This window comes from Homo sapiens, chromosome 10 (genome assembly GCF_000001405.40).
Source record: "Homo sapiens chromosome 10, GRCh38.p14 Primary Assembly".
In the NCBI taxonomy this organism is placed as follows: Eukaryota; Metazoa; Chordata; class Mammalia; order Primates; family Hominidae; genus Homo; species Homo sapiens.
This window is the reverse complement of record NC_000010.11, coordinates 93039175-93051931: the sequence shown is the minus strand read 5'-3', so window position 1 is coordinate 93051931 and position 12757 is coordinate 93039175. Positions and strand designations below refer to the sequence as shown.

General features: G+C 41.1%; 1 protein-coding gene across 10 annotated transcripts in view, besides 1 other annotated feature; it reads right to left on the bottom strand.

Annotated features, from left to right (window-relative positions):
• The window catches only part of EXOC6 (exocyst complex component 6), a 232660-nt gene that overhangs the window by 7559 nt on the left and 212344 nt on the right, over positions 1-12757 (bottom strand). The window lies entirely within an intron of this gene.
• Positions 11866-12160: a silencer, noted in NCBI's record as "tiled region #5548; HepG2 Repressive non-DNase unmatched - State 13:Ctcf". NCBI's record gives its function as "represses a minimal TATA promoter and a strong SV40 promoter by Sharpr-MPRA in HepG2 cells {active_cell/tissue: HepG2}" and the evidence as "EXISTENCE:reporter gene assay evidence [ECO:0000049][PMID:27701403]".

The following is a 12757-nucleotide window of genomic DNA, read 5'->3' as shown; positions in this document are numbered from 1 at the left end:
ACCTGGGACCTCAGAGTTGCTTTGCAGATTCCAAAAGTAAACCAGGAGATCATTTTTCCTTTGCCTCCAAAAAGCAAAGCTGAGACCAGGGTTCCTAGAGTGCTCCAGAGATTTAAACAACAAAAGTCCTAAACCCTAGTACTGCTTCAAGGAAGAAATACTTGTCCTTCTAACAAATCCTGAGTAATTTGCCACTGGGAATTCAAGAAAAATGGGTCTTACTAAATTAGCTACATTGGAAAAAACTACAAGTCCTTTTACAAAATATATTGTGAGGTCAAATGATGAGCTCCATATGATTTTTAAAGCACCTGGATTTTCCTTCCTTTCCAGCCATCTAAAAACACCACATTTGGAAAACTCCACATGTAGCACAGAATTTTAAGTAGCAGTCAGAAGGAGCATAGGCAATAACTACAATACAAAAAAGCAAAACAGTATTGTGCCTCCAGCCACCTCACTTTTTTGCCTTCAGGTGTTAACTGCCTTCATGCTACCTTCTGGATCTGATGCACCTTCACCCAAGCCTGCCCTCTTCCAATGTCCCATCTGCTAGACTTGCTCTCAGCCAATCCTTTCACTCCCACCTCTGTGAGGACTAGGAGTGAGTTCTGAGCACTTCATGCTGCAGAAGCTGCTTAAAGGAATTAGTCTCTTCAAGTAACTTCACTCAGGTGAACTGTACATGCAAATGTAGAATGTTCTTAAAGTATTTTTTTATGCTAAGCTAATGTAGTAGTCCTAGATAACCTCTAGGTGAGTTTGGAATTTGAAAAAAAAAAAAGAGGAATACAGTAAAATTTACATAATTGGATTTACACACATCCATATTTGCTTTATTTTGATTTTTTTCTTTTTGGTCACTACCATGGCTAAAATAGCATATAGATACATACATGTGAATTTATGTGGTTAATTTATTAAAATTAATTTTATCAAATACATAGTTAATAATCAAATGGAGCATATCATGAAACCAACAGTTCACTGCCGTACTCAGAAGTAACCATGTTTAACTCCTTACTTATTTGTTTTTTGTGTTTTCTGTTGTTGTTGTTTTGAGACAGAGTCTCGCTCTGTCACCCAGACTGGAGTGCAGTGGTGCAATCTCGGCTCACTGCAACCTTCTCCTCCCGGATTCAAGCAATTCTTTTTTTTTTTTTTTTTTTTTTGAGACGGAGTCTCGCTTTGTTGCCCAGGTTGGAGTGCAGTGGCGTGATCTCGGCTCACTGCAACCTCCACCTCCCAGGTTCAAGCAGTTCTCCTGCCTCAGCCTCCTGAGTAGCTGGCATTACAGGCACACGCCACCATGCCCGGCTAATTTTTTGTATTTTTAGTTAGAGATGGGGTTTCACCATGTTGGTCAGGCTGGTCTCAAACTCCTGACCTCGTGATCCACCCATCTTGGCCTCCCAAAGTGCTGGGATTACAGGCGTGAGCCACCGCACCTGGCCTCAGGTTCAAGCAATTCTTGTGCCTCAGCCTCCCAAGCAGCTGGGACTACAGGCACATACCACCACGCCCGGCTAATTTTTGTGTTTTTTGTAGAGACGGGGTTTCACCATGTTGCCCAGGCTGGTCTCAAACTCCTGGCCTCAAGTGATCCACCCACCTCGGCCTCCCAAAATGCTGGGATTACAGGTGTGAGCCACTGCGTCTGGCCTTTAACTCCTCTTTTAGTTCTAGTGATTATCTCACTATCCCTAATAGGCTTATTTTTCTAATTTTGAGTTTATTATTTTACAGCTATCACATATGAGAATTTACCTTACTTTATACCAGCTCTCTTCTTGGGTAGCTATCCTACCATTTTTGTCTATTTTTGTTTTTATAACTTTAATATAATTAAACCTCTATTTCTTGTTATATAACTTTAAAATTTTTTTTTTTAACAGCTTTGAGATGTACCATACAGTTAACTCATTTAAAGGGCACAAATCAATGGTTTTGACTCTATTCACAGAATTGTGCAACCATCTCAATCAATTTTAGAGCCCCTGAAAGAAACCCCATAGCCATTAGCAATCACTCCCCAAATGGGAATCAAATAACATGTGGTCTTCTGGCCTACCATGGTGGTTCACCCCTGTAATCCTAGCACTTTGAGAGGCCAAGGCTTGAGACTAGGAGTTTGAGACCAGCCTGGGCAACACGGTGAGACCCTGTTTCGACATACAATTAAAAATTAGCTGGCTGTGGTGGTGCACACCTGTAGTGCTAGCTACTTGGGAGGCTGAGGTGGGAGGCTAGCTTGAGTCCAGAAGGTGGAGGCTGCAGTGAGCAATGAACTGTACTCCAGGATGGGCAGCAGAGCAAGACCCTGCCTCTATTTAAAACAAAACAACACAAAACAAAACAAACAAAACAAAAAGACCTACCTGGTCTTTTGTAACTGGCTTCTTTCACTTAAGCATAATATTTTCAAGGTTCATCACGTTGTAGCATGCATTATTACTTCATTCCTTTTTATTGACAAATAATAATATATTGTATGGATGTACTACACCTTGTTTATCCAATCATCAGTTGATGGACATTTATCTTTTTTGGCTATTAAAAATAATGCTGCTGGGCCGGGCACGGTGGCTCACGCCTGTAATCCCAGCACTTTGGGAGGCCAAGGAGGGTGGATCATGAGGACAGGAGATCGAGACCATCCTGGCTAATACAGTGAAACCCTGTCTCTACTAAAAAAATATATAAAAAATTAGCCGGGCATGGTGGCAGGCACCTGTAGTCCCAGCTACTCAGGAGGCTGAGGCAGGAGAATGGCATGAACCTAGGAGGCGGAGCTTGCAGTGATCTGAGATTGCACCACTGCACTCCAGCCTGGGCGACAGAGCGAGACTCTGCCTCAAAAAAAAAAAAAAATGCTGCTATTAACATTTATGTACAAGGTGTTTGTAAAAAACTGTTTCCATTTCTCTTGGGTATATATCTAGGAGTAGAATTTGTTATATAAACTTTTAATAGGATCTTCTGACTTTCCATTTAGCAGTATAAGAACATTAGCACCTTATGTAGTTGAGTTTTAAAATAATTCTTTTGGCAATTGGGATAAAATATTTATATTATGTATTTAAACCCAAACAACAAATAGATATTTAATTAAAGTTTCCTGAAAGTTTTTTATGAATGCAAAAAGATGTTAATAAATTCTTTTTTTTTTTTTTTTTGAGACGGAGTCTCACTCTGTTGCCCAGGCTGGAGTGCAGTGGCACGATCTTGGCTCACTGCAACCTCTGCCTCCTGGGCTCAAGTGATTCTCCTGCCTCAGCCTCCCAAGTAGCTGGGATTACAGGTGTGTGCCACCACCCCAGCTAATTTTTTTTAATTTTATTATTATTATACTTTAAGTTTTAGGGTACATGTGCACAATGTGCAGGTTAGTTACATATGTATACATGTGCCATGCTGGTGTGCTGCACCCATTAACTCGTCATTTAGCATTAGGTATTAGAGACGAGGTTTCACCAAAGTGCTGGGATTACAGGCGTGAGCCACTGCACCCAGCCAATGTTAATAAATTCTTATCAATTTTTTTTATTTCCTATTTTTGAAAAATAATAAAAACCTTCAATTACCCAATAGAAGAAAGAACCTGTCATATAATTTCCTCAAGTAGATTCACTTCAAATAGTTGAATGTAACTTAGATTTTTTTTTTTTATTATACTTTAAGTTCTAGGGTACATGTGTACAACGTGCAGGTTTGTTACATATGTATACATGTGCCATGTTGGTGTGCTGCACCCATTAACTCGTCATTTACATTAGGTATATCTCCTAATGCTATCCCTCCATGCACACACAGAAACACACAGGCATGGCTTGCTTTTCTTGAGAGTACTGAACGTAAGAGTTCAGCTTCATGTAGGTCATACATGAACTAGCAGTACTTTACCTAATTACTGAAACCAAAAATCTGGATTTAGTTTGCTTTGTGTCTTTTCTCTCACAATTTTTTTGTTTGTTTGTTTGTTTTTTGAGATGGAGTCTTGCTCTGTCCACCAGGCTGGAGTGCAGTGGCGTGATCTTGGCTCACTGCAACCTCCGCCTCCCAGGTTCAAGCAATTCTCCTGCTTCAGCCTCCTGAGTAGCTGGGATTACAGGAACACGCCACCACACCCAGCTAATCTTTGTATTTTAGTAGAGACGGGGGTTTCACTCTGTTGGTCAGGCTGGTCTCAAACTCCTGACCTCGTGATCCACCTGCCTCGGCCTCCCAAAATGCTAGGATTATAGGCGTGAGCCACCGTGCCTGGCCTCTCTCTCACAATTCTTCCATCTGATTTATTGACAAATAGTACCAATTTAACTTCCTAAATATTTCCTGTATTTACTTTCTTCCACCTTCTTCTTCTCCTCTTTTTGTTTTGTTTTGTTTTGTTTTGTTTGAGACATAGCCTCACTCTGATGCCCAGGCTGGAGTACAGTGGTGCAATCTCACCTCACTGCAACCTCTGCCTCCTGGGTTCAAGTGATTCTTGTGCTTCAGCCTCCCGAGTAGCTAGGATTACAGGCACACGCCCCCATGCCCAGCTAATTTTTGCATTTTTAGTAGAGACAACGTTTCACACGTTGGCCAGGCTGGTCTCGAACTCCGGGGCTCAAGTGATCCACCTGCCTTGGCCTCCCAAAGTGCTGGGATTATAGGCGTGAGCCACCGTGCCTGGCCCTCTCCCAACTTTCCATCCCTACTATTACTACGCCTGTCCTAGTTCAGACATCACAATCTCTCCTCTGGGGCCATTGGTCTTGCCTATTCCCTTTGCCTCTCTCTTACAATATTCCAGATTAGCCAACCTCCACACTGCTGCCAGAGAGATCTAGCTAAAACACAAATTTGATTACACCATTCCCTTGTTTAAAACCTTTGATGGCTCCCCATTTCCTACAAGATAAATTCAAGTTCCTTAACATGACATGCAAAGCTCTCTTGCACCTTATCCAGGTCAACCTTTTGGCTTCTCCCTTCAAGTAATCCAGGCTCCTAAATGAGGAACTACTCTTAGTTCTCTAGAAACCATGACTGGGCCAGGCGTGGTGGCTCACACCTGTAATCCCAGCACTTTGGGAGGCTGAGGTGGGCGGACCACCTGAGGTCAGGAGTTCAAGACCAGCCTGGCCAACATGGTGAAACCCCATCTCTACTTAAAAATACAAAATTAGTCGGGCGTGGTGGTGGGCACCTGTAATCCCAGCTACTTGGGAGGCTGAGGCAGGAGAATTGCTTGAACCCAGGAGGCAGAGGTTGCAGTGAGCCGAGATCATGCCATTGCACTCCAACCTGGGTGACAAGAACAAAACTCGGTCTCATAAAAAAAAAAAAAGGAAACCATGACTACCCTAGGACACTCCTCATTCCTCAGCTCTTCTGTATGGAGTCTCCTTTCCCTCCTTCTTCACTCAGGTAGCTCTTACTTAGTCCATAACACTTAAGTCTAAATCAGTCTCCCAGGAAGCCTCTCCAGACCACCTTGGTTGGGTTAGCTGTCACTCTTTTTTGTGTCCTCATACTACCCTCCACATATCTGTATCACAGTGTTTTTCACAGTATATTGACATTAGAGGTTAGTTTGTGTATCCACCAAAGAATCAAATATCAATAATTCCATTTTTAGTCTGGGTGAATCATAGTTATCCCAGCACTTATCTCCTTCCAATATCTCAACAGTTGAAGTGCCTTTTTCCTCCTTCTAATAATGTACTTTGTAAGTGCCTCAAAGCTAGTGACTTGTTTTGCTTAGTATCTGTATCTTCACATTTAGCCCGGTAACTGGCATATACTAGGCATCAACTAAATATCTGTTGAGATTCACTGCATATGTTACCTTTTGATACATAATTTCATAAGTCTACACTGAGCCCATATCATATATACTGATAATAGGGCTATGTTATCATTTACTTGACATCTAAACTACTAGTAATTAAGACATCTCTGAATTTTAGTAATGTTTTATAATTATTCTGAAAGCCAGACTAGGCTATTTATTGATTGATTTAATTTGTGCCATAGGACGTACTAAAATATTTCACAACCAAAGTTCTGCTCCTTTTGTAAACTAGTGATGCCACCATCAAACATGTTAAATAAACATTCCCAGGTCATACATTTAATTTTCTGTACAGATTCACTACATCATCTGCTACACTTGCATAACAAGTAGTTATGTAATGACTTCACCAATGAAGCTCAAAGACCTCTAATACCAAGGAAATCAAACGTTGAAACTCATGATGAGAGGTGTTCAATAGACTTTCAGTTCTCTCTGATAAGTCACTTTGCTCCACTGAAGCTACGAAGAAATAAGATCTGCTTGTATGAATTGACTTTGGAAGAACTTGAGCAACAAAGGAAGACAATATGAATTAGCCAATGAAAAAATTGTATGCCAACATGTCTATACTCCAGGATATGGCAGTTGCTTGAATGAAGGAAGCCAGACCAGGCTAGGATTTCCGCAGTACAATTGTTAAGAAAAACACGAGGGAAGAGAATAACTAGTTTTTCTAAATTCAAAAGAATCTAAGTGCTTCTTCTCCCTCTTGCCCCACCTCAATGGTTATGACTTAAAATAAAGCAAATGAACACTTGGAGAATCCAACAGCTAGATTAATTTAGTCTTCAATATAGGCAGTCACATATGTTTTACCCTAAAATTTTAGGAAGTCAAATAATACTTATAATTTGCTATTAGTTATAAACAATGACTGGCTTTTCTTTAAGGCTGAACTAAAATTAAAACTAAATACTTGGCCAGGCACGGTGGCTCACGCCTGTAATCCCAGCACTTTAGGAGGCTGAGGCGGCAGATCACTTGAGGCCAGAAGTTTGAAATTAGCCTGGCCAACATGGCGAAACCCCTTCTTTTCTAAAAATACAATAATTAGCCGGGCGTGGTGGCGGGTACCTGTAGTCCCAGCTACTCAGGAGGCTGAGGCAGGAGAATTGCTTGAACCCAGGAGGTGGAGGTTGCAGTGAGCCGAGATTGCACCACTGCACTCCAGCCTGGACAACAGAATGAGACAGTGTCTCCAAAAACAGAAACAAACAAATAAAAAATCCCCCAAAACTAAATATTTAAGTCCCCAGAGGCACCTTATTCTCTTATTTAAAATGGAACTCAAGCCATTCAGGATAACCGAAAGAAACCAAGCTCATTAAATCCCAATTGCCTCAAGAGGAAAAGGGAGATCATTTCTATGGCAATAAATTAGTGGGAAAAAAAATAGACTCCAATTTTGGCAATAAATCTTTGGTGAAGTGATGACCTAAATTTCAGAGTCAAATCTCATTTCTTATGCTTTATAGAGATAAGGCCTCAGTTTATATACTGAGGCCCAGAGTATAAATACAGACCCATTACCATTTTGCCTTGGAATCCTGAAGGGATGCAAAGTTGGATTACCATACTTAGTCTGATGGAAATAAGGAAACTAAGGATCTCTGTGGTCTCTGTTAAAGACAATATTATAATATCTCAGTTAGTATTTGTATTTAGGAGAGTTTATAACCTTACTCATTTCTTTCAAATCTTATATTTTATAATCTTTACTCAAACAATTAAAAAAGATGTGCATTTAGTTTACTTTTCTTGAATCTCAAAGGTGCTTCTCTTATGCTAGATAATATATTAACCCCTAATTATCCATTTACTTCCAGACCTGATTGTATATGTAATTACCTTTTGTCACGTATAATAATTTGCGCGACAAACATGTCAGAACACTTGCTGCTTAGTCTGTTTCAACAGATAAATGTAGTCTTTCCATAGCCTCAAAGCACAATTAAACATGAAGAAAAAAGGCAGTTATCAAACTATGCTGAAGCTGATTCACTAAGGCAGAAGTTCACATCATGTAGTCAGGGCTTACTTTGGGGCCTGATGCTTGCTTGAATGCTTAGTTAGTAACAGATTTCTGAGACAACGAAACAGAGACAACACTGTAACATTCTGACCAGTGCAGGTAGCCACATGAACTTCAAAATGGGCAACAGATGAACTTTAAGATGCAGCTCAGTTAAGAAGCAGCTACTGGTAAACAGCTATTGAAGTCACACCTTCACTACAGGTTATTGGATAAAATTAAAAAAGAGAAACTAAATAAAAACAGCAGTTGAAGGAGGACTTATTTTCTTGGGAAGATAAATGCAGCCACTGGAATTAAATGGATTGTGATCTAAGTCCTGTGATGCTTGCACGATGTGAATCTGCACTATGAGAGTACAAAAAGAAATCCCTACCTGACCTCTGGATAACCTAAAAACAGGAAATTAGGACATTTCTAAGCAAAATAGGCTGTTATCCTGTTAAGACAATTGTTTCCATTGACACTTTGCATAATCATCTTACACTAGGCCATCAGAAAAAACTCAAACCATGGCATCTCTTCTTTGTAATACATAAAAACAGTGCCTGGCCCAGTGCCCTCAACACAGTTGAGGTAAAGTTTGTTGATGATAATTAAGAGGAGAACAAAGAAGAGAAAGAGAAATAACAAACAGGTAAGAAAACTGGAAGTATTCTTTAAGTATTTACAGATCGGTTGAAAGTAAATTCATAAAATATTAAAAATACAACTTAATTCATAGTAAGAATCTGGGGTAATTAAGAGAGTATGCAACGACTTTAGGGAAAGCTCAGTAGACAATACAACTTAACATGAGTCAGCATTTTAAAAGAATAATTGTAGCTGGGCGCGGTGGCTCAGGCCCGTAATCCCAGCACTTTGGGAGGCCGAGGCGGGTGGATCACGAGGTCAGAAGTTCAAGACCAGCCTGGCCAAGATGGTGAAACCCCGTCTCTACTAAAAATACAAAAAATTAGCTGGCTGTGGTGGTGGGCACCTGTAATCCCAGCTACTCAGGAGGCTGAGGCAGAGAATTGCTTGAACCCAGGAGGCAGAGGTTGCAGTGGGCCAAGATTGCGCCACTGCACTCCAGCCTGGGCGACTCCATCTCAAAAAATAATAATAATAATAATAATAATAATAATAATAGTAAAATATCTGATATTTGATTATGGTGCTTCAGAATGTTAGAAATCGGCACCATCTGGCTGGAAAAAAATCAAGCTCTTCCTTTGTATCACTTAATCAATACTCTGGATATTATTTGGCTATCCAATTATACTTCACTTAAATAAGAAAATACTTCAGAGTTAATACTTCTTATGACGCTGTCTTAGTCTGTTTGGGTTACCATAACAAAGTACCACAGATCGAGTGACTTATAAACAATACAAATGTATTTCTCACAGTTCTGGTAGCATACTATAGCAGGTACCAGTAGTGTTTAGTCTGTGCCCTACTAAATTTCCTCCCAACCCAGGTTTTTAAAAATCAAGCTACTTTCATTTTGACTGAATCATTTAAGGGAGTTACAAACTCTGAGTCCCAACTTTCTCTTCCGTAAAAGAGATTGTGTTCACATGTGACAAGCACTATATTTGACACTAGTGATGAAAAGACGGTAATGGCCCAGTCTTTGGATTTAAGAAGTTCACAAGTATAAAGGGAAAGATATTCACACAAACATAATTACAAACTAACATGCTGATTACACAGATGGACATATGTATAGGCTATTATCAGAGCATCAATTATTGCTTAGGGGGTGGGAAGTAGACCTAAGCAGCTGTCTTAGATGACACCCAAACTGAGTCTTAAGGAGTTAATCAAAGGAGGGCTCGTGGTATTTCAAGCAGATGGAACAGTGTGAGGAAAGACACAAGGACAAGAAACAGTTATGCTTATGGGGAAATGCCATGTACTTTAGTGCTGCTAAACTGAAATATGAGTAAGGGGGTAGTATAAGACAGGCTGGAGAAGGGGTCAGGAGCTGAATCATAAAAGGATATATATGCCTTGTTCAGGAACTTTGGGTAGCCATTGAAAGGTTCTAAACAAGGAAGCTGGCCGGGCGCAGTGGCCCAGGCCTGTAATACCAGCACTTTGACAGGCTGAGGGGTGTGGATCACTTGAGATCAGCAGTTCAAGACCAGCCTGGCCAACACAGTAAAATCCTCTCTCTACAAAAATACCAAAATTAGCTGGGCTTGGTGGCATGTGCCTGTAGTCCCAGCTACTCAGGAGGCTGAGGCAGAAGAATCACTTGAACCCAGGAGGTGGAGGTTGCAGTGGGCCGAGATCGCACCAGTGCACTCCAGCCTGGGAGATAGAGCAAGACTCCATCTCATAAATAAATAAATAATGCCGGGCACGGTGGCTCACGCCTGTAATCCTAGCACTTTGGGAGGCCGAGGCAGGCAGATCACTTGAGGTCAAGAGTTCGAAACCAACCTGGCCGATGTGGTAAGACCCTGTCTCTATTAAAAATACAAAAAAAATTAGCCAGGTATGGTGGTAGGCACCTGTAACCCCAGCTACTTGGGAGGCTGAGGCATACTTGGGAGGCTGAGGCAGAAGAATTGCTTGAACCCAGGAGGTAGAGGTTGCAGTGAGCCAAGATCATGCCACTGCATTCCAGCCTGGGCAACAGAGTGAGACTCCATCTCAAATAAATAAATAAATAAACAAACAAACAAGGGAGCTGACATGGTCAGATTCACCACTTCGGTTCTGTAGTAAATGCACTTAAGGCAGAAAAAATAATTAGGAGACTGTTGTAACAATCTTAAAATACATTGGGACAGACAGGTACATAGTTGGGATAGAGAGAAAATGATGAATAGGTAGGCAAGTAGTTAACATGGAGAGAAGAGGATGGGTTTGAGAAATACTTAGGAGAAAAAAATCCCTAGGACGTGGTGATTGTCCAGGACATGGCAAAGTGGTTCTACCAATCAAAAAAGACAACATGAAAAAGGGATGTGATTTGAGAATAAGGGAAGATAACAAGTCAACAGCTTTGGTCACACAGCATGCGGGACACACACCTAAGTCAAATGGTTTACCAAGCAACTTGATATGTATCTAAGGCATACTGCCAGAGATCTGATGAAAGCGGGTCAGCTCACCTAGGTCAGGAGTATAGGGAGCAGTGTTCTAAGGACAGAAACCTTGGGGAAACCAACATTTAGGGGGCAGAAAAGGAGACCACAGAAAAGAAAGAGGAAGGATGTTAAGGGAGTACAGACTCAGAAGACGAGAGAATTTTAAAGAGAACATGATCCACATTACCAAATGCAGCAGAAAGAACCAATAGGATATGGGCTAAAAATGTCTACTGGCCTTCCCTGGTGACCTAAGTGAACACTATTTCAGCAGTGTGGCAAAGCAGATAGGAATGGATTGAGAAATGAATGAGAGATGTGAAAATAAGAATAATCAATTATAAACCACTCTTTTAAGGATGCAAATGAGGGAAGAGAAATTGGAAATAGCTAAAATGTTTTTAGGCTAAGAAAACGATAAAGCAGGCCGGGCGCAGTGGCTCACGCCTGTAATCCCAGCACTTTGGGAGGCCAAGGCAGGTGGATCACGAGGTCAGGAGATCAAGACCATCCTGGCTAACACAGTGAAACCCCGCCTCTACTAAAAATACAAAAAATTAGCCAGGGTGGTGGCAGGCACCTGTAGTCCCAGCTACTTGGGAGCCTGAGGCAGGAGAATGGCGTGAACCTGGGAGGCGGAGCTTGCAGTGAGCCGAGATCACGCCACTGCACTCCAGCCTGGGCAACAAGTGAGACTCCGTCTCAAAAAAAAGAAAAGGATAAAGCAGAGGAAAGGCAGATGAATAATGAAACAAAATGAAACAAAATCCCATACAAAAGATAGGGTCAAGGGCATAGGAAGATGAGAGCCTCATTAAAAAGGCTTCCTAACACCTGAGAATGAAGGACAGGAAGAATGGGTGTGGATATAGATAAGCTGACTGCAAAAGCAACAGTGAGAGGTTGATGGTGATAGAGATGGAAGACAAGAGGCTCAGAGGGGCTGGAGCTTTCACTCAAGAGTGGAGGAACAATGGTCTACAAATAGAAATGAGGAACCAGGGGAACACGAATCTCATTCACACGTGTAGCCATGAAAGAATGCATCCTGCCACTAGAGAGAGCTGCAGGGTTAGCAGTATCCTCCGAATTCTATGAAAAGGAGGTGAAGAAAGCATTCTGCCACACAGTTGAAGCAGTAGGGCCATTTACATTGCAATGAGGGTTTTCAGGTGGCATAGAATAAGTGGGCCAGAAGAAGTGAAAAGATGAGTAGACAAAACAAGGAGTGAATGAAACAGGAAAAAAGTTGGAAGGTGAGAAGGAGTAGAGTAAGGAAGTGGAAACTACTTAATTTCATTGAATAATCAAATTTTATTTTAATCTTCTCAGATGAAGGATGTGTGACTGAGAAGTAACAGAAACAGCAGTGTCTGACCAAGTCTCAGAGAGAAATGGTGGAGGCTGCCCTGAGATTTTCAAAAGGGAAGAGAAGCCTCTATTTGGATGGGGTGAATGTCCAGATATCTGGAGCAGCAGCAAGGGCACTTGCTGGGGAGAGCTTCTAAGAGGTTTGGAGCCAGGGGTTAGATTTTTGGAAGTCCCTTCCAATCCTCAAGTCTTAGGATTTTATGACCATGAAAATCACTGAATCACAATTTGAAGGTAATTGGTAGATGTTCTGACATTTACGAAAACACAAATGGGTTCAAAGAAAAGGAGAGAAATATACATTGCAAAATACTCTAGGGACTAAACAGTGACTTAACTATGAGTACTAAGCACTGCAATGCATATCTAAGAGGAAGTTTAGAGAATAATGCTATAAATGGTAGTCTCAAATAAAAAAAATACCTT